Raw genomic sequence first — 21,916 nt, forward strand, 5'->3', positions numbered from 1 at the left:
TTGATGTCTTAGCATGTTCAGGTGCTTGAGCTTTGGAGTCAGACTCTCTGGGTTCAAATCCTTGCTTTACTGCTTACCAGCTGTTTGACCTGAGCAAGTTCCATAATCTCTGTAGGCCTCAGTTTCCTCATTCTAAATAGTTACTACTACCTTTAAGGGATATTGTGAAGATGAAAGGAGACAATGCAGATAAAACATTTATCATGGGACCCCTCAATTCTGTTCTTACTATTTGTCCTGCAATTCTGACTTACCTACTAGCTCTTAGTTAATCCTGCTCCATGCTCATCCCATGTTTTTGTTTGTTTTTTTAACTGGCAGAGCCAATGAGACATCTAAGTGAATTTCTAGTAGGCAGTTAGCAAAAACAACCCTGGAGAATGGTCTGAGAAAGAGTCATATTTGGGGGAGATTTGCTCAGAACTCCTATTTAGAACTTTGAAACCTGAGCTAATGTATATAAAAAGACAAATAGCAGGTGATGGGATTTTGAGATACCATTCTAGGAGCCATGTATCTTCAGGCAACCCAGTTTTCAAATATTTTTTATTGGTCTTCTAAATTTTTGGAATATTTTAGAAATAATAACTTTTTGACACCCTTAAAATACAGAGTCACACATTTGGAAGTAGCACAAAAATTTGAACTGCCTCTTTGCCGCAACCCACTAGAGGTTTATGTTTTTCTACTGAAATATTCTATCTTGTTGAATCACACATCCTAGGTTTTGATTTAGAAGATATGGTCACCATAGGTGTTACTTGACTTGGCCACTAGGAGGAAGAGAAGTTGCCAAAGGAAATTCTTGCAAAGAAAGATTTCATTAGTATCATATTTTCTATTTAGTTGTTAAGGGGTGTGTGTGTGTGTGTGTGTGTGTGTCGGGCACACGTGCACATGTGTAGTTTCTCACCCTATTAGGTGATTTTATATCAGAATGGGGTGAGAAGGAAGGAGGAGGATGTACGTGAAAATCTAGAGGTGTTATTGAGAAGACTGAGTACCACAAAAAGCTCTGAATCTGGATGCCTAATGGATGGTTTGTATGTGATTAAACTCCAAGCCATACTTCATTCTTCTAATCATTTTGGTAGTTTTCTCAGAATAATCAAATGTTCTTTTGAAAGAAAAGGTAACCAGGACCTTTCGTTCATTTGCTTTCGCAGAGTTCCGTTTAGATAAAATGGTTAATTTTTATAATGTTATGAAAACTAAAAAGTGAACTATTTTAGAGAAAAGTAACACTGAAGATTGCCAGTTTGCCATCGGTATCCTTGATTTGCTCTTCTTCATCTCTAATAACAGATACAAATTTTTAATATATTTACTATTAAAAAAAAAACTTTTTTTAAGAGACAGGATCTTGCTCTTGTCACCCCAGCTGGAGTGCAGACGCACAATCATAGCTCACTGTAACCTCAAACTCCAGGACTGAAGCAGTCCTCTTGCCTCAGCCTCTTGAGTAGCTAGCACTACAGGCACGTGACGCCATGCCTGGCTAATTTTAAAATTTTTTGTAGAGGCAGAATCTTGCCGTATTGCCCAGGCTGGTCTTGAACTCCTGACCTCAAGCGATCCTCTCACCTCAGCCTCCCAAAGTGCTGAGATTACAAACATGAGCCTCCGTACCTGGCCAATCCATATATTTAATATCTCACTTTGACTGTTAATGTTAATAGCTGATAACATTCTTGAAGGTAGACATTTGCTCCCTGATAATGAAGAAATGCTTTGTTTCTGAGTAGAGGTGATGTTTTTGTATTTAGTTTTCTCCACATATATCTGTCCCACTTGCAATGGATAGTATTTATCTGCAAAACAACTGTTAACTGGAATGAATTATCAAAGAAGATTTATAGAAAAAATTTGGTTTGTTGGTGGTTGGGAAAAAAAAAATCAACTGGCCAGCATGGTGGCTTCCACCTGTAATCCCAGCACTTCAGGGATCAAGGTGGGTGGATCACTTGATCCCAGGAGTTCGAGACAAGCCTGGGCAACATGGCAAAAACCCATCTCTACAGGAAAAAAAAAAAAAAAAAAAGGATTGCTTGAGGACGGGAGGCGGAGGTTGCAGTGAGCCAAGATCGTGCCACTGCACTCTAGTCCGGGCGACAGAGTGAGACTCTGTCTCAAAAAACAAAACAACTGCGTATCCTCATTAAACAGTATAATAAACTGAATGTGCTATTTAAAACATATCAGTTATTCATTGTTAACATGTTTTATTAGAGGGGTAGTAACGTTTTAATTTATTCAAAGTTCTAAATGGTAAGAGAGAGGGGGGAAAGTTCTTGTCTCATCATTCAGGCTGAATTAGTGTCTTACATTTTGTATCCCTCAAGGCTGTGCACGTAATCAGTGGTGGGTGAATGGGTTCATTGACGGTGTTACCCTGGAATGTTTTACCTTGGCAACATTGACACACTATAATACCAATAGAATTTTTAAAAATTGTTTAAATTTGAAGGCTACTCTTAAAAATAGCTATTATTTTGAGCATTTTAATTTTGTGGTAAAGAAGCAAAAATGTTTCAAATGAATTATATTAAAATACTTTTATATTTAGCTCTCTGAAGAAGTCTTTTGGTCTCAAAATACCCAATTTACTGTAAGTTAATATTTAGGCTTTATGTTTAAATATTGGCTACTACAATTTTTTTTTTTTTTTGAGACAGAGTGTCGCTCTCTCACCCAGGCTGGAATGCAGTGGCACGATCTCAGCTCACTGCAACCTCTGCCTCCTCGGTTCAAGCAATTCTCCTGCCTCAGCCTCCCGAGTAGCTGGGATTACAGATGTGCGCTACCATGCCCAGCTAATTTTTGTGTGTGTGTGTGTGTTTTTAGTAGAGTCGGGGTTTCACCATGCTGACCAGGCTGGTTTCGAACTCCTGACCTCGTGATCCGCCTGCCTCGGCCTCCCAAAGTACTGGGATTACTAGCGTGAGCCACCATGCCCAGGCAGGACTTTCTTTTTTTTAAATATACAAGTTTTTGTCTAGAAAAGGAACTCTTTAGGAACTTGAATTATTTTGTAATATAAATGTAATAGATGAGCAAGAAGGTTGTATTTGAGGTGTGGGGAGGGAGGTTGCTTTCTCTATATTCTTTCAAATAATCGGAAAACATGAAGAAGTGATTCCTGGCTGGGCGCGGTGGCTCACGCCTGTAATCCCAGCACTTTGGGAGGCCGAGACGGGCGGAGCACCGAGGTCAGGAGTTTGAGACCAGCCTGACCAACATGGTGAAACTCCGTCTCTACTAAAATACAAAATTAGTCGGGCATGGTGGCGCATGCCTGTAATCCCAGCTACTCAGGAGACTGAGGCAGGAGAATCGCTTAAACCCAGAAGGCGGAGGTTGCAGTGAGCCGAGATCGCGCCATTGCACTCCAGCCTGGGCAACAAGAGAAAAACTTTGTTTCAAAATAAATAAATAGTTAGATAGATAACTTAATTTGGAGTTTTTAGCAAGGAGACACACTTGCTACTGCCTTCTCAATGGAAGAATAGCAGAGCTTTACTGGAGAAGTCTTGTCTCTGTTCTTTAATTCCAGTGTAGTTTCGGGAAGGGTGCAGTAGAATAATAAGATTGGGAGGAGGTAGACATTCACCTGACTTAGATCTGTGAGTCATACCTTATCATCAGTGGAAAGGTTTATGTCATTTGGCACTTACATTTGGTATTTTAAACTGGAGCACTATTTATTATAACTCAGTCATCATAAATCAGTTTAAACTGCTGTTGGATTGGATGGAGTTTGTGTGTGGAAACAAGATAAGGAATCTGGTTCTTTTAGCTATTTAGAATCCTTGGAACATGAGGTTCAGATGCTTACCAGGTTTTATTTTGCAATAATTCAAATTTATGGAAGGTTAAAATAGACATGTATTTCCTATCCCAGTCCCTGGGCTGGCAACTGAACTAGGCCTGGTACTAGTCTGTGGCCTGTTAGAAACCTGGCTGCACAGCAGGGGAGCGCGTGGGAGCTGGCATTACCACTTGAGCTCCGCCTCCTGTCAGATCAGCAACACTGGATTCTCATAGGAGTGCGAACCCTCTTGAGAACTGCTCATGAGAGGGATCTAGGTTACACACTGCTTATGAGAACCTAAGGCCTGATGATCTGAGGTGGAACAGTTTCACCCTGAAATCATCCCGCCCACCCCTACCCCCTACCCCAAAAACACACACGGAAAATTTGTCTTCCACGAAACTGGTCCCTGGACCTCTTAGTAAGATTAACCCATTGTTAACATTTTGTGCTATTTACTTATTCATTCTCTGTCATATTATTTTTTTCTGAATCTTTTGGGATTAAGTTGCTTACATCATGTTCCTTCACCATGTAATATTTCAATGTATAGTTTTAACAACAAGGACCTTCTCTTGTATAACTGCATTACAGTTATTAAATTAAGGAAATATGCAGTTATCTAATACACAGTCCACATTCACATTTTACTAGTTTTCCCATTAATGTTTTTTTTCTTTTGTGTGTGAGACGGGGTTTTGCTCTTGTATCCCAGGCTGGAGTGCAATGGCTCACTGCAACCTCTGCCTCCCAGGTTCAAATGATTCTCCTGCCTCAGTCTCCCAAGTAGCAAGGATTACAAGAGTGCCATCACGCCCGGCTCGTTTTTGTATTTTTAGTAGAGATGGGGTTTCACCATGTTGGCCAGGCTGGTCTCGAGCTCCTGACCTCAGGTAATCCACCTGCCTCGGCCTCCCAGATTGCTGGGATTATAGGCGTGAGCCCAATAATCATTCTTTAGGGATTTTTTTTTTCCTGTCCAGAATCCAACCCATAATCATTCATTGCATTTAGTTGCCACATCTCTTTATTCTCCTTTAATCAGGAACATTTCTTCAGCCTTTCTTTGCCTTTAATGACACTGACATTTTTGAAGAGAGTGACAGACCATTTATTTGTAGAATCTCCCTTAATTTGAGTGTATCTAATGTGTTCTCATGATAAAATTTAGGAATGTGGTTTTGGCAGGAATGTTACACTTGTGTGCTTTTCAGTGCATCACATTAGGAGGCACATGTCCACTTGTTTCCTTATCAGTGATACTTACTTAGATCTTTAGGTTAATGTGATACCTGCCAGGTTCCTCTACTTAAGTTAATATTTCTCCTTCTGTAATACATAATTTGTGGGAAGACACTATTAGACTCAATATATACCAGTCCTCATCAAACTTTCATTCACAAAGAGTTTTAACATTCTTTGGTAACTTTGTCTAAATCAAATTATTACTAGATGGTAATAATTCAGATATTTAATGGATTTAGATATTTAACCGGGTTTAGGTATTTAATTGTAGGAGCTCAGTACCATAGTAGGAACCGCTTTGAGCTGTTGGATTCTTTAGCATTATAAAGTGCTTTGTGTTGAACAAGAATGTCTCCTGAGACTTCTATACACTGTTTCAAGTTCTGTACTCTGTACCACGTGAGATGAGCCTGCTTTATTTGTGTCTCTCTAACTGCCCTTCAAAATGTGTTCTTTTTTGTCTTTTCGATAGGTTACTTGCTTTAATTTCATATAGTCACTTCTTGTAAGAGATGACTTTCCTGAATTTATAACCATCCTGTTGGTTTTCTGATAACATTCATTCATCAGTATCACACTTAACATATGGTATCCAAATCTGGATACTAATTCCAGATACAGTTTGATCTATCAGTACAATGGATCACTGTTTGCCTGTAATCTAGCTTTATGCTCAAGAGCACCAGGTTTTGGAGACAAATAGATTTGGCTTCAGGTCCTAGCTCTGCCACTTAACTAGCTCTGTGATCTTGAACCAGTTCCTAACATCTCCAAACCTGTTTTGTCATCTGTAAAGAGTTGGTAATAATAGCACCTGACTTTTAAGGATGGAATGAAGATTAAGCGTGCATGTAAAACTCTCAGTGGTGTCTGTTATATCGTAAACACCTATAAAATGTAAATTATTTTTATGCAGAAAGCATGCTTCTGTTTTATTGCCCAAGATTGGTACAGTTTATGTTTTAGCCCTTGTACTGCAGACTCATTTAAGCCTGCGGTGAAATCAGAGTTTTAATCAGTTCTACTGAAGCAAAGTTAGACACTTGGACAAATATTTTAACTTATTATGATAGAATACCTTTCATATAACTCTTATGAGATTTTGAATTATTTTTAAAATATTCATATGTACCATATAAGTCGATTATAGAGAAACATTTGAGTTACTTTGAATAAACCCTAAAACATCAAGTCATCTCTTACAGCATAGCAAATGTTAAATATTTCAGCATTAATTAATAGTTTTAAAATTAGTCTATGAAATTGGAGTGTTTGGGTGCTATTTCTCATGGTGTTTTTGAATTATGTTGCTAATATAAACAGTACATTTACTATGTTCATGACATCTTTAAGTTTTTCCTAAAATTTACTATAGAAATTTAGACCAATATACATATTAGCCCAGTGTACATATAGGGGAAAGGTATAGCCCAGTGTACATATAGGGGAAAGGTAGTTATCTCAGTATTCTAGGATGTTTTAATTGAAGTGTACATATTTTGCTTGAAGTTTACTTACAGTTGTATTAAAAAATGCAGGTGAATAGGAAATGCATTGAAACATCAAAGCCTAGAATCTTTCTCTGTATTGTGGCTTTCTGATACTGTTATACATTAAAGTTTAGATATAATGTGTTAGATTTTTTTTTTTTTTTTTTGAGACGGTGTTTCCCTCTGTTGCCCAGGCTGGAGTGCAGTGGCATGATCTCAGCACACTGCAACCTCCACCTCCCAGGTTCAAGTGATCCTCCTGCCTCAGCCCCTCTAGTAGCTGGGATTACAGGCATGTGCCACCATGCCCTGCTAATTTTTGTGTTATTTGTAGAGACGGGGTTTCACCATGTTGGCCAGGCTGGTCATGAACTCCTGACCTCTGGTGATCTGCCTGCCTCAGCCTCCCAAAGTGCTGGGATTATAGGTGTGAGCCACTGCGTCCGGCATGTGTCAGATTTTTAAATGGCACTTTTTATGTAGCAATATAAATTTTTTTAAAAATTAAATCTTTTGGCCTGGTGCAGTGGCTCATGCCTGTAATCCCAACACTTTGGGAAGCCAAGGCAGGTGGATCACCTGAGGTCAGGAATTTGAGACCAGCCCTGCCGATATGGTGAAACTCTGTTTCTACAAAAAATACAAAAATTAGCCAGGCGTGATGGTTGGGTGCCTGTAGTCCCAGCTACTCAGGTGACTGAGGCAGGAGAATCTCTTGAACCTGGGAGGCAGAGGTTGCAGTGAGCCAAGATCGCACCATTGCATGCACTCCAGCCTGGGCAACAAGAACGAAACTGTCTCAAATAAATAAATAAATAAATAAATACATACATTTATTTTTGCAGTGCAAACTGTCATTATGACTGCCTATGTAATACATATTTGCTAATGGGATGGAGAAACAAAGATTTTTATCTTGTAATTGTAGTTCTTAATTTACAGACTTTCTGTATTTTTGGTATTTTGAAAGTTCAGTTTAGTAGAATAGTTTTTTTTTTTTATGGGAACAAGGTTTTATTTTCTAGGCAAGGCTTCTAACACTTGATTAACCTGTAGTAATAATGGTACTGTAGAAATTTTAATCTGTCAAGAAATGTGCTATAAACCATAGAAAATGTCAGCAACATGGCTCCTCCTGCTGTCACAAAACAATCTCATTCTCCCTAGTCCGGTGCTATGACATGTATACTTGAGACTCTAAAGGCATTCCACTGACTGTTGGTAAAAGTGTTCTTTAGTTGGTAGCTGTTTATTCTAAATAAATTAGCTAGACTTAAGGAAAACAGAAAAATACCTACTTTTGCTTACTTTGGATAAAATGATTATATAAAGTAATCCTTACTCACCTAGTCTGTGGCCAGGTATAGAAAATCTATGGATTAGTTATATGCATATTGTTAATAATGTCAAATACCAATTGGAATGTTTTTATTTTTCACTTTTTCTTCAGCCACCCTTTTAACCTAGCTATAATAGCGAAAGCACTCCTTAAAATTTTAGGTGGTTAAAATGTGGTACGTAAATTTTATATGTCTCAACTCTGTTTCATGTTAAATGTGTTACAGGAATGAATCTGAAGTCTGCTGCAGTAAAACACAGAAGGCTTTAAAATGTTTTCTTGCATAAAATTCAAAACTTTTAAGTAGCTGCTTATGAGAATAGGGAAGGCAGAAAGCTAATGTCTGTCTCAAGATACAGGACAGCTGTTTGCTCATCAACCTCAACTGTGTGAGTAGAGACTTAAGCCTGTAACCCTATGTAATTGGGCATAGTAACTTAATTTTTTTTTTAATTTAAAATGCTTGAAGATAGACCTAAGTCATCATGATGAGACATTTTTAGGGTGTATTTTTTCTGGTGGGTAGGATACTGAGGGTGGAGTGGGTGGTAGATTTTTATTTATAAAATAATTTGTGCAATAACATTTATAACTAATGTTATTAGTGACTACACATCTTTTTTCAGAATTATTATAAGCATTGGAATCTGCATTACTAATTTATTATTGTGAAGCAAAAGATTGTAATTCTTTAGATTGCTGTTTATTTTGCATTGATTTCAGCCATTTAAAGTTAATATTTTGACCAAACAACCATAAAAAAATTACTTGGGATTATGATGTTTGATATTAATAGAGAAAATTGCTTCTGGAAATAATAATTTAAATTATAATAATTTTAAAAGCTAATATTTTAAAAAATAACTTCATTTAGTCAAAGAGTATATCAAAATACAAGCACCCTTGTTCCCTAAATGCAGTTGAAAGTTTTTTAAATTCGCCAATTTTATTTTTTAAAGTACTTTGAATAATAGAAATGCCTATGGAAGAAAAAAAATCTCCTTTTCTTTCCTTTAAGGTGTTAAAGTTAACACCTTAAGAATCTATGGTAGGGTGGTGTCTGGTTTTTTTCTACCCTCCTCCCCCCGACTTTTTCTTTATGGATTTAGGAGTGAGACTCTTAATTGGATGTTTTTTCTCTCTCTTTAGAAGAATGCATTGTTTGTACAGATGGAGTGATTAAAATGTACAGCATTGTATTGAGCAAAATGATGAGCATGTAGACAGAGACTTATAAAATCTTGTTAACTGTTCACTGAGGCATGGAGTAGAAGGAATGTTATGCAGTGTATGCACTAAAATGAAATTACTTTCTCTTTCATAACACAAATGTGTTGACTGAAGGAAAATAAAAATGGACTATCTTTAGAATCAGTGAATGAGAAAACATTTAGAAAACGTGAAGAATACACACTGAATATGGATATCCTTTTTTTTTTTTTTTTCGAGACGGAGTCTCACTCTGTCGCCCAGGCTGGAGGCAGTGGCACAATTTCTGCTCACTGCATCCTCTGCCTACCAAGTTCAAGTAATTCTCCTGTCTCAGCCTCCTGAGCAGCTGGGACTACAGGCATGCGCCACCATGCCCGGCTAATTTTTGTACTTTACAAAGAGGTGGGGTTTCACCATGTTGGCCAGTCTGGTCTCAAACTCCTGACCTCCAGTGATCTGCCTGCCTTGGCCTCCCAAAGTGCTGAGATGACCAGCGTGAGCCACCTTGCGCGGCCGAATATGGATATTCATAATGAAAGTGGTCAAAGGATATGTGGCAGAAATGGAGGGACACATGTTGCTGCATTCAAAACTAGTGAAAAACCCAAAGGTTTCACTTTGCCCCATTATTTTCTTTTCTATATTGGTCAGTAGATACATAACACTGTGTAAATCTCCAGAGGTTATCTAGTTCCTAATCTTTCAGTATTTCTAGAGAATAAATATTTATAATCTTGTTTAATGATTACAAGGCTCACTTTAATGCAGTTTTAGGGTCTGTAAAACGAAATTTAATTCTTAATTTACTGCCATTTGGCATTTCCCTTGAAAAGCCAAGTTTAATTTGGTGCTGCTATTCTGTGAACAGTACTTCAACACCCTTCCCTCCTCTTTTTTAATTAGTGTTAAAAATAAGGAAAATTCAAGGTGAGAGAGGCCTTTGGAACATACTAATGAAACTTTGATTTTTAAAATGAGATTAGGAGAGAACACACAATAGGGAAGAGAGTTGCTTTTATCACTGTAGAGGGTTTAGGGGGAAATTGTATGATAGTAAATTGGTCCCAAATTTCTTTTTATCTCTCTGAGATGATTCTCTGTGTTCTGTTCTATATTACTCTTCTCTCAAGGGGATAAAGTTAGAAGCTAATTAACTTTCCTAGGATAGAAAGTACATGTAGGAATATGTGAGCAACATATATAAAACTCATCTACTTTATTCCCTCTTCCTTGCTCTACCCTTTACCTTACCACAATAGTGTAGGCTTCTCATTGATCCTGTACGAAATTCTGTCATTTGGTTTTGCTTAGATTTTTAAATGTATTTGAGCTTGTTTTACTGTTGTATAATGCAGTATATTAAAATGAAGTTTTTGGGCTATATAAGGCCATGTAACATGGTCATGTACACAGGCTATAGAGTCTGGCTGCCTGAGTTCAGATCCTAGCTGTCCCTTCTAACATCTCTGTGATACTGAGCAAATTTCTTAAACCTTCCTGGGCCTCAGTTGTGTAATCTGTAAAATAGATACAGTAATAATTTGCTACCTGGTGGGATATTGTGAGGTTGAGTGAATCATCAGTGCTTGCAAATTATTATCATTATTAAACCTGTTTGTTCTTTGAGAGGAGGAATACTAGGTAGCATATTATAAATGCTCAAAATAATAGATTTTAAGGCTTTAGGATTAAGAATTTGAACATTACAAAGTAGGATATTTTCAATTAAGGTATCATAAGAAACATCTCAAGAAGAGTAGAATAGAAATCTTTACTCCCGGCTGGGCGTGGTGGCTCACGCCTGTAATCCCAGCACTTTGGGAGGCCAAGGCGGATGGATCACAAGGTCAGGAGTTCAAGACCAGCCTGGCCAACATAATGAAACCTCCGTCTCTACTAAAGATACAAAAAATTAGCCGGGCATGGTGGCTGGCACTTGTCATCAAAGCTACTCGGGAGGCTGAGGCAGGAGAATCGCTTGAACCCGGGAGGCAGAGGTTGCACTGAGTGGAAATTGCGCCATTGCACTCCAGCCTGGGCGACAAGGCAAGACTCCATCTCAAAGAAAAAAAAAGAAAAAATCTTTACTCCCCTGCCTTCCTGTCTCAATCTGCTGTGTGCATTAGCCCCATTTCACATTCTCAGTAGCTACATGTGACTGATGGCTACTGTGTTGGACAACACTGTTCTAGATAGTTGGTTTCACTAGGTAATGTATTTGCATTAAACATGACATTTATTGATGACACAATTCTCTTTGTCTGGAACATGAAAGATTGGTTCTTGTATCAGATATAACTCCACCAAGAAAGAGAAGAGGAAGCAAAAAATATTTCTTCAAGAATCTTGGTGAAGGTTAGGTGTATTTTCTCTGGGTTTTATGTAAAGTGTTTTTTTTTTTTTTTTTTTGAGACGGAGTCTTGCTCTGTGGCCCAGGCTGGAGTGCAGTGGTGCGATCTCGGCTCACTGCAAGCTCTGCCTCCTGGGTTCATGCCCTTCTCCTGCCTTAGCTTCCGGAGTAGCTGGGACTACAGGCTCCTGCCACCACGCCTGGCTAATTTTTTGTATTTTTTAGTAGAGAACGGGGTTTTTTAGCATGTTAGCCAGGATGGTCTTGATCTCCTGACCTCGTGATCCGCCTGTTTCGGCCTCCCAAAGTGCTGGGATTATAAGCATGAGCCACCACGCCCGGCCATAAAGTGATTTTTAAACAATTTATAAAATTTATTATAGTGTAGTTATTTTTATTTTTCATTTTTATTTTTGAGATGGAGTTTCACTCTTGTTGCCGAGGCTGGAGTGCAGTGGCATGATTCTCCTGCCTCACCCTCCCATGTAGCTGGGATTACAGACGTGTGCCACCACACCCAACTAATTTTGCACTTTTAGTAGAGACAAAGTTTTACCATGTTGGTCAGGCTGGTCTCGAACTCCTGACCTCAGGTGATCCACCCGCCTCCCACTCGGCCTCCCAAAGTGCTAGGATTACAGGTGTGAGCCCCCGCGCCCAGCCTTGCAGTTACTTTTGAATAAAGGTATTGACAGTTGAGTCAAGCAGTGTTGCAAGTATTGAAGTCTGTCAGTGACTGCTTCTCAGATTAAAGTGAGCCATCTGTTTATATGTGATATGGAGATGAAAACTGATTTTTACATTTAAATGCTAGTAGATTTCTTATCTAGAAGCACCTTTGAAGACTAGCAATGTTATGGGTGGCACATTAATTTAGAGTCTTTCAGGAAGGACTAGGTTTCAGTTAGTGGTTTTATTGTGAGATAAATTTATCTGTTTGAGATGATTCCACTAAAGGTTAAAAGTAGTCTGGATTTCAGCACTGATAATCACTTTTACTTTGTGCTTAGAAATAGTGTAGGTGTTAGGGGAGATACCAAAGGATAGGAACAAGCTATTAATGTTATGTTCTAAAAGAAATCACTGTTTACTGGATTCTAGTCAGGGACCAGAACACATGGAAATAGAAATCCATTCTACCTAAGGAAAGAAAAAAGGATTATTTTAAAAATCTTTGGAAAATCATATGTAATTGAATTGCAAGTATATAGCCTTGGTACTTTTTATGTGTGTGCTATTCTGTCTCCTCCCCACCTCCATCCATGACTTTAGATAGGTTCATCGGGTCAGTGTTCATCCAGGTCTAATCACCTTGTCTGGAGGGTTTATCCCATGGTACTAAAAGGTCAGCAAGAGCTGATTTATAGGTATACAGATTGTCTTAGAAGGGAATGTTAGTAGGGAGGCAGTGAATGGCATGTGTAACTTCAGTTTCTTCAACTGATTACAAAGGAACGTGTGTGAGAATGTTACCTTCCTTATACAGATTTGGTGAGGCCTAAGTCAGATAATCTATATAAAGTGCTTAGCCCAGGGCCTAGTACATAATAGTGAGTAGACATTTTCAGTGAGCACTTACTCTAATACATACCTAATTGTGTAGTTTCCTTACCTGGTTTTTTTAATTTAGGGAAAAAATTTGGAGAATTTGGTGGGATTAATTGGTAACTTGTGGATATTCACTCAGAACATCTCAATTCAAAGTGCCTGACTGAAATTTAACTCTTGTAACTAGCGGCCTAGATATGCTCTGAAGTGTTCATGGTATAGTATATCAGCCCGACCTCAGATTGGCTTACTGTTGAGCATTGTTGAGTTTGCTCTTAATCAAGAACTTAAAGTGTCCAAATTTTTTAGCCATCTGAGCCCCTTTATTTAATTGAAATCTTTTGCAGAAACCAGGTATGTGAAAACACCAAAAATGAACTATTCTATTTGAAGCAGAAATTTGTAACCCATTCTGCCTTCTCAGTCTGCTTTCTCCCTACCCTTTTCCTCTGCCTCAGCAATCTTTGATAGAACAAAAGCAGACACTTAGGAGAAATAAACTTTATGAAGGATTGCCTAAATGATAAGCCTGAATGATAAGTTCATTATTATTATTGTTTTTTTAAGAAACAAGAGTCTTGCTCTGTCACCTATGCAGGGGTGTAGTGGTGTGATCTCAGCTCACTGCAGCCTCAATTTCCTAGGCTCAGACGGTTCTCCCACCATAGGCTCCTGAGTAGCTGGGACCACAGCTGTGCACCACCACACCCAGATAATTTTCTTATTCTTTGTAGAGACGGGGATCTCACTGTGTTGTCCAGGCTGGTCTTGAACTCAAGCAATCCTCTCGCCTTGGTCTCCCAGAATGTTGGGATTACACACGTGAGCCACCGCCCCTGGCCGGATTTTATTTTTAACTCTGGCTCCACTCCATGAAGACTGGCTGTTAACTGAAGGTGGCCATGAGACTATTGATTTATATTAGAACTAAATAGCCAGAGGCTGGGTGGGCGGTTCACGCCTTATAATCCCAGCACTTTGGGAGGCTGAGGCAAGTGGATCATTTGAGGTCAGGAGTTCAAGACCAGCCTTGGCCAGTATGGTGAAACCCCGTCTCTTCTAAAAATACAAAAATTAGGTATGGTGGTGTGTGCCTGTAATCCCAGCTACTTGGGAAGCTGAGGCAGGAGAATCGCTTGATCCTGGGAGGTAGAGGTTGCAGTGAGCCGAGATCGCACCACTGCACTCCAGCCTGGGCGACAGAGTGAGACCCTGTCTCAAATCAGTCAGTCAGTCAATCCATCCATCCATCCATCCATCCATCCCAGAAACTTACATTTTACTTTTCAGGTATTATTGACCATATCATTTTGTGTTTTACTTGTTGTAAACTATAGATGAAATCCTCTTATGTTATCTGGGGTAATATTTCATTGTACTTTTCTTGAGTCGCTGATTTTGTTTTTCTTAAGTAGTCATATTCTTCTTTGCATTAGCTCCTTGAAAGAATAGAGTTGAATGGCTTCCAATTAGCAAATAGGCCTTTATGGGCATACATTTTATTTATTGACAGTATTTCTAACTTATTTTTTTTTAACCATTTTTACTTGGATTGACTATTTTTGCCTACTTTTGATATCATACAGCATGCATTTTTAAAGTCACCTAGAATTCTTTTCAGAGCAATTTAAAGTATATAAAAAACAGTAATATTTAGTGAACAGCACTTGTTCTAAAAAGCTCCCCTTTTCATTCTAAGGTGGTGGGATTCCCTGTTGCTTGTGGGTTTAAGTTCAGACTCCTTATCATGGAAACACAGATTTTGTGATGTGGCCTTATTCTAAGATCATTTCCCACTATCCTGTAGTCTAGGCACACAGAAGTCTCCCCTGGTAGACCACATACTTGCTTTTATCCTTCCTTTACAGTTATAAATATTGAGCGTAAGCACATAGTAAATTTTTGTTGCCAGTTATCCAGAGTAATTGATACATCATTTTATAAACTTTTGAGAGGAGGATGTTAGAAACCATTCCATCACACTTTTAATAAAAAACGGTATCATCTCAGGTGGAAGTGAGGCCTATTCACAGATCTCCTAACAGGTGATTACTGTCTCTGTGGCAAGGAGAACTTTTATGAACCTGCCCTTTGTGAGCTATGGGTAAATAAGGAGTCTTGGATTTATGACTGCAGCTACTATTAAATAGTGGACAGTTTGAACCTCTCTCTCTCATGATGAACTGCAGATATGTGACTTAAATAAGCCACCCAATTCTGAACTGAGCTTTATATTGCAACTTACGGGTTAAAGTATTTTCACAATCACCGTCCCAGTTGACCCCCTCAAAATTCTATGAGTTAGAAAGGACAGGCATCATAACTATCTTAAATGAAGTACTTCAGGCTAAGCACTTATCTAAGTAGGAAGTTTATATTCACAACCAACTTGAAGATGAGTCAGTTCTTTTTTCTTTTTACTACATATCAAGTTGTCCCTGTATATATAACAGTTGTTTTGCAGTGATTTGTAGTTAAACTTCCTTTCATGATGCATTTGTTAGTCATCCCTACAAGGTGTGTTACGTTTTAACTGAAAGAAAATCAGTTTCTGAAGTATCTTGCAATCATTTCTGGCATCCATTTTTATATACCTCTATGAAGTGAGAGTGGTGTATTCTAAAACTTTGTGGTTTTGATACTTAACATTTTGTGGTTTTGTGGCTAATAAAGTTGTAATTTTGGAGTTAGATGTGATGTTTGTGCAGATACGTGAAAATCAGACATTAGTATTTCTGTTCTTGTACCTACATTGATGAGAGCAGAACTGTGTGTCCTAAATATCTTTTACAGTGTTTAATAGCTAGCGGAGTGATAGGTACGATAAGTTTATCAAGATATCCTTGAACAAAGAGCTATGACAAAAGAAAGTACTTGCTTATAGTCATGGAATTTTGCTATGTCTTTCCTGATAATATCTCTAACCAAAATAGTTGTGAAATCATTTATTCATCCAGCATGTATTTGAGTACCTCCTATGTGCCTGGCATTAATCTAGAGCGGGAATTGGCCAACTATGACCCACTCACCAAATCCATTCTAGTCACCCCTTATTGTAAATAAAAGTTTTATTGAAACACAGCCATTCCTATTCATTTACTTATTGTCTGTGGCTTCTTTTTTACTGTAAAGGCGAAATTGAGCAGTTATGACAGACTCTATGGCCCACAAAGCCTAGAATAATTGCTCTCTGGTGCTTTAGAGAAAAAATTTGCCAGCCCTAATCTAGAGTGCTGGGAATATAACTCTGAAAAAACCAAATAATTTTTTCAGTATGTTAAATTTGTTTTTTTTTTTTTTGCTTCCATATTATAGGCTCTTTGTGCCTAGAAACTTATTATTTGCTCATTATGCATATTTTAATTCATGTTGAAGGACAGTGTTATTACAAGTAAGTTGTTTTCCTCTGAATTTGTGTAGGTATCTTTTTCCTCAGTAACCCTTTTCCCTGAAATGGGAGACTAATTAAGAACTGTGTGCCAAAAACCTCTGCAAGGATAGAGACTTCAGTTTCCAGTATGTGGATAAGAAACTAGATTGAGGAAGGCTTTACTCTGGGGTGACGTATCTCAAAATAGGTGAAAGAGGAAAAATACAATGAAGTGTAATCAGAATCAAGATTTAATAAAAGGGCCGGGCGCAGTGGCTCACGCCTGTAATCTCAGCACTTTGGGAGGCTGAGGTGGGTGGATCACCTGAGGTCAGGAGTTCAAGACCAGCCTGATGAACATGGTGAAACCCCGTCTCTACTAAAAATACAAAAAAATCAGCCAGGCATGGTGGCGGACGCCAGTAATCTCAGCTAGTCGGGAGGCTGAGGTAGGAGAATCACTTGAACCCAGGAGGCAAAGGTTGCAGGGAGCCAAGATTGCGCCACTGCGCTCCAGCCTGTGCAACAAGAGCAAAATTCCGTGTCAAAAAAAAAATAGATTTAGTAAAAATAATTTGTTTCATCAGGAATACTCAGCAAGTGAAACTGGTTTTTTGTTTTTTAACTGTGAGAGTATGGTGATGAATATAATGACTACTATTAGGTAGTCATTACATAATGACATCACCATATTATGTGACATCTCCTTGTCATATAACGACAACTGTACTATTATAGTATGGTTTGGTGCCGCTGTCTTGATGGCATGTTAAAGCTCTAGCTGTTTTACCCTTCATTGCTTTTACACTGCCAATGCAAATGTCAACACAGTGAATAAGACGAATAACAAGTTCTTGTTATTATGAAAATAGGGGCTGGGCGCAGTGTTTCATGCCTGTAATCCCAGCTCTTTGGGAGGCTGAAGCGGGTGGGTCACCTGAGGTCAGGAGTTCAAGACCAGTCTGGCCAACATGGTGAAACCCTGTCTCTCCTAAAAACACAAAAAGTCATGATGATAGGCACCTGTAAATCCCAGCTACTCAGGAGGCTGAAGCAGGGGAATCACTTGAACCTGGGAGGCGGAGGTTGCAGTGAGCCAAGATCGTGCCACTGCACTCCAGCCTGGGCAACAAGAGCAAAACTCTGTCGAAAAGAGGAGAGGAGAGGGGAGAGGGGAAGGGAGGGGAGAAGATGGGGTTGGGAGGGCAGCGGGGAGGGGGAAGGACCTCTGAAAGGATCTCAAGAATCCCCAGGAGTCCACAGATACGCTTTGGGAACTACTGATTTAGAGTGTGGACTCCAGCCAACTGCTTGGGTTGAATCCCAGCTCCTCACTTACTAGCTGTGTGTCCTTGAACAGTTTATTTCTCTGTAAAATGAGAGTGCTAATAGTACCTACTTAATAGGACTATTATGAGGATTAAAGGGATTGGTATTTATAAGTGCTTGGCACATAAAGTTCTATATAAGTATTGCTCAGTAAATGGTAAAGCAAGTTTTCTTCTGTAAAAAATGTGCAGTTTCATGAGCAGAAAAGATATAAATTTAGAGAATGACCATATATTAAACTTTAAAATTAGGGAAGGACATTCATTTACAATTGAAGATTTACCTTAGGGGGAGAAGAGATTTTTTAAAAGGTTTTGGGTGGAGGGGTTGGGGGGAAGTACAAAGTCTACATAGTTGAATTAAAAGCTTTAAGGGCAAAGAGGGAATAAAAAGCCATAGATAGATCGATCAATCTGTGGTAATCGTGAGAAGAAAGAGAATGAATGTCCATGAATGTGGAAGCCAGTGGGAAAATTTGAACGGGTTCCTCTTTTTGCAAATAAGAATATTGGGTGGCCTTGTGCTGGTAAAAACTGTGCCTTGTTCTTTAAGGTATGTGATATGAAACCTAGGTCAGTTTGAGAATATGAAATTCACTGCAACTTAATTTTACTAATAGAATTACTGTTTGGTATGCTAAATTAGTCACATTGCTAAATGAACCTCTTTCTGAGTAGGCTGAATGGAAAAGATGCCCAAAAGCTTGGAGCATGAGGCCAGGCATCCTTGTTTTTTTGTTTTTTTTCTTTTTTTTTGGAGTCTCACTCTGTTGCCCAGGCTGGAGTGCAGTGGTGCAATCATGGCTCACTGCAGCCTCCGCCTCCTGGGTTCAAGCACTTCTGCCTTAGCCTCCAGAGTAGCTGGGATTACAGACGCCTGCCACCACGCCTGGCTAATTTTTGTATTTTTAGTAGAGACAGGATTTCACCATGTTGACTAGGCTGGTCTTGAACTCCTGACCTCAAGTGATCTGCCTGTCTCGGCCTCCCAAAGTGCTGGGATTACAGGTGTGAGCCACCGCGCCTGCAGGCATCTTTGTTCAGTGCATGAACTGTATAGTCATAGGTGGCACACCTTGCTGACAGATCTAGATCTCTTCTTAAACAGCAAATTCAATTTCTTTAAAAGGAGCCTTTCTCGTTTTTTGCCTTGGGATAAATCCTTGGCTACTAGTGGTGGTGTGCAGGTAAGGTGGCAGGGCAGTTTCATTCATACATTCAATCAATATTGAATGCCTGCCATTTACCAAGCATTATTCAAAGCATCAGTGAACAAAATGGACAAAATCCCTGCCATTAGGGAGGTAACATTTTAGCAAAGGGGAGACACAATATAATAGTAAATTAAGATTAGGATAAGGACGTTGAAGAAAAATAAAACCGGAATTGATGCTGGGGACAATTTTAAATAAGTGGCAAGGGAATTCCTCCTTGAAAAAGGTAACATTTGAGCAGAGACCTGAAGGAGGTGAAGAACCTAGTCATAAGGATTTCTGGAAAGTAGAAGGAATAGCAAGTACAAAGGCCTCAGACAGGAAAATACCTGTCATACCCAGCAACGTGTATGGTAGGAAGGGGAGTAAAAGAGGAAGTCATGTAATGGGGGACCAGATCATGAAGAGCCTTTAAGTCAAGGTAAAGAATTTGTCTTTTAACGCTTTGTAAGTTGGGAAGCCACTGGAAGATTTTGAGTAAGCAGGCAGTGTGATTGATTTAGATTTTAATAGGATCACTGGCTGCTGTGTTGAAAATAAAGTATAGCGGGGCAAGAAGCAGGGAGATATATATACCAGAAGCTGTGTTATCAATTGCTGCATAAGAAACTAACCCAAAATTCACTGGCTTAAACAACAAATATTTATTATCTCACACAGTTTCTGTTGGGAATATAGAAGGGCCTCAGCTGTATGGTTTTGGCCCAGAGTGTTTCATGAGGTTGCAGTTCACATGTCAGCTAAGGCTGCAGTCATTCAAAGATTTGATCAGGGCTAGAGAAGATCGGCTTCCTGGTTCACTCATATAGCTGTTGGCCAGAGACCTCAGCTACTCGTCACATGAGCCTTTCTCTGTGAAATGGCCCTCAGCTTCTCCAGAGTGAGTTACCAAGAGAGAAAGCAAAGCAGAAACCACAGTGTCTCTTATGCCCTAGACTTGGAAGATATGCCATTACTTCCATGGTATTCTGTTGATCTCCCAGACCAACACTGATAAAATGTGGGAAGGAACTGCATGAGGCCTGACTACCAGGAGGCTCAGGGAATTGGGGCAGACCACCTAGGAGGCTGGAACAAACAGACAGAAAATGACATTTAAAAATAAGATACACCATTTATAGTAGATTTTAAACAAATACCTAGGAATATCCAAAAGATATGCAAGACCTCATCACAGAACACTATAAAACATTATGAATCTAAAGGAGAACTAAATAAACTGAGAGATATACAGTAGTATTAGCACATCTGTAGATTCAACACAATTCCAATAAAAATCCTATTGGTTTTTACTTTTTAAGTGGAAATTGACAAACTGAATCTAAAATTTATGTGGAAATGCAAAGAGCCAAGAATAGCCAACACAATCATGAGGAAGATTAAAACTGATACTAGATATCAAAAAAAACTGTATAATTTAGAATAGGATAGAGAAATAAACCAGTAGAATAGAATAGAGAGCCTAGGAAAAGACCCATACATGTATGAGGCCTAATGTGTGGGCAAAGATGAGACTGTAGGGAAAAGATGATCATTTTAGTAAATGGTTTGGGGTTAATTAGATATCCATATGGAGAAAAGCATTAATCTTAACTCTTAACCTCATTCCATACCAAGAAAATCAACTCTAGATGGATTGCAGATCTAAAAGTGAAAGGCTTAGCTTCTCACATGCCCAGCCTTGGCTCAGGTATTCAGCCCTGAGACAGGCCTGGCCCTGGGATGGGAGGGGTCAGGCCTACCCAAGCAAATGAAATGGTCTTCCTGCAAGAAATAGATGTTCTATTATCTAAAAGAGCAAGGAAAGAAAACATAGTAGGCAGATTGAAGCTGTCAGCTTCAGTAATACAGATACCCTTCAGATTCAATTGTTGAGTAATTTCATAATTAAGACACCACAGATATATTTAGCTTGGTGTTCTAAGTGGAGATGGGATTGTACCAAAAGTGTTACTATCATTTATCACATCATGGTTATAACTCCATATAAATCATGTCTGGGGATACACATTTGGATGAGACATATATTGCCTTTCTAATCCTTTCCCTTCATTGGGTGATGAACATATATCAGTCATCCCTCAGTATCTGCAGGTATTGGTTCCAGGACCCCCCTCATCCCACCCCTGCAGACACCAGAATTTGTGGGTTCTTAACTCTTGCAGTCAACCCTGCCAATCATTTGGGTATGAAAAGTCAGTCTTCCTTATTGACAGGTTTCACATCCTGGGAATACTGTATTTTCAATCTGAGGTTGGTGGAGTCGCCGGTAGCCACCTAAGATAGGAATGTCAATCAGAAGTTTTCTAGAATCTATCTTCAGATGCAAACAATACAGTGGCCTCTTGGTGAGATTTATTTTACCAGTATAACTATATAGCAATATAGGATAAGTATATAGTGATATATTGCTATAAGGAAATTTTTCTCATAAGTTTTTAATAAAGTTTTCTTATAAGTGGGAGGGGCTCATCTTACCACTTTGTGCTGTGGTACTAGTTCAAAGTTTAATGTGCATTCTTATTTAACTAAACGTGTATTTTTTCTTCTCTTGAAACTAATAGTGAAGATTCCCAAATTGAAAAGGCCAAAGATTGCTTATAAGATCAGTCAGGTAGCTAAAATTGAAGGTGGTCTTGAATCGGAGAGTACAGGCTCTGCCTAATAGGGCCTTAGCTGATGGGTTTTAATTTGGGGAACATGAGTCCAGTATTGTCAGATCTTCCTATTTTTCAACAGAAGAAATCTGGAAAAAACTGCTGTATAGGCCAGGCATGGTGACTCACACCTGTAATCTCAGCACTTAGGGAGGCCGAGGGAGGTGAATCACCTGAGGTCAGCAGTTCGAGACCAGCCTGGCCAACATGGTGAAACCCCCATCTCTACTAAAAATAAAGAATTAGCTGGGCATGGTGGCACATGCCTGTATTCCCAGCTACATGGGAGGCTGAGGTAGGAGAATTGCTTGAACCTGGGAGGCAGAGGTTGCAGTGAGCCGAGACTGCGCCA

At 39.0% G+C, this 21,916-nt stretch overlaps 1 protein-coding gene across 18 annotated transcripts in view; it reads left to right on the top strand.

The window, feature by feature from the left end:
• ZFAND6 (zinc finger AN1-type containing 6) overlaps nucleotides 1–21,916 on the top strand; it is a 79,443-nt gene that overhangs the window by 31,354 nt on the left and 26,173 nt on the right. For 11 of the 18 annotated variants that reach the window (XM_047432697.1, NM_019006.4, XM_024449959.2 and 8 more), the window contains one exon: nucleotides 8,112–8,274. The exons of 6 other annotated variants lie outside the window; for them this stretch is intronic. The gene's annotated coding sequence lies outside the window, so the exon portion shown is untranslated. Of the gene's footprint in view, nucleotides 1–8,111; nucleotides 8,275–21,233; nucleotides 21,256–21,916 lie in introns of those variants that run through there. One more of the 18 variants, XM_047432694.1, reaches the window with a different exon arrangement.

The sequence above is a fragment of the Homo sapiens genome, chromosome 15 (assembly GCF_000001405.40).
Source record: "Homo sapiens chromosome 15, GRCh38.p14 Primary Assembly".
Lineage (NCBI taxonomy): Eukaryota > Metazoa > Chordata > Mammalia > Primates > Hominidae > Homo > Homo sapiens.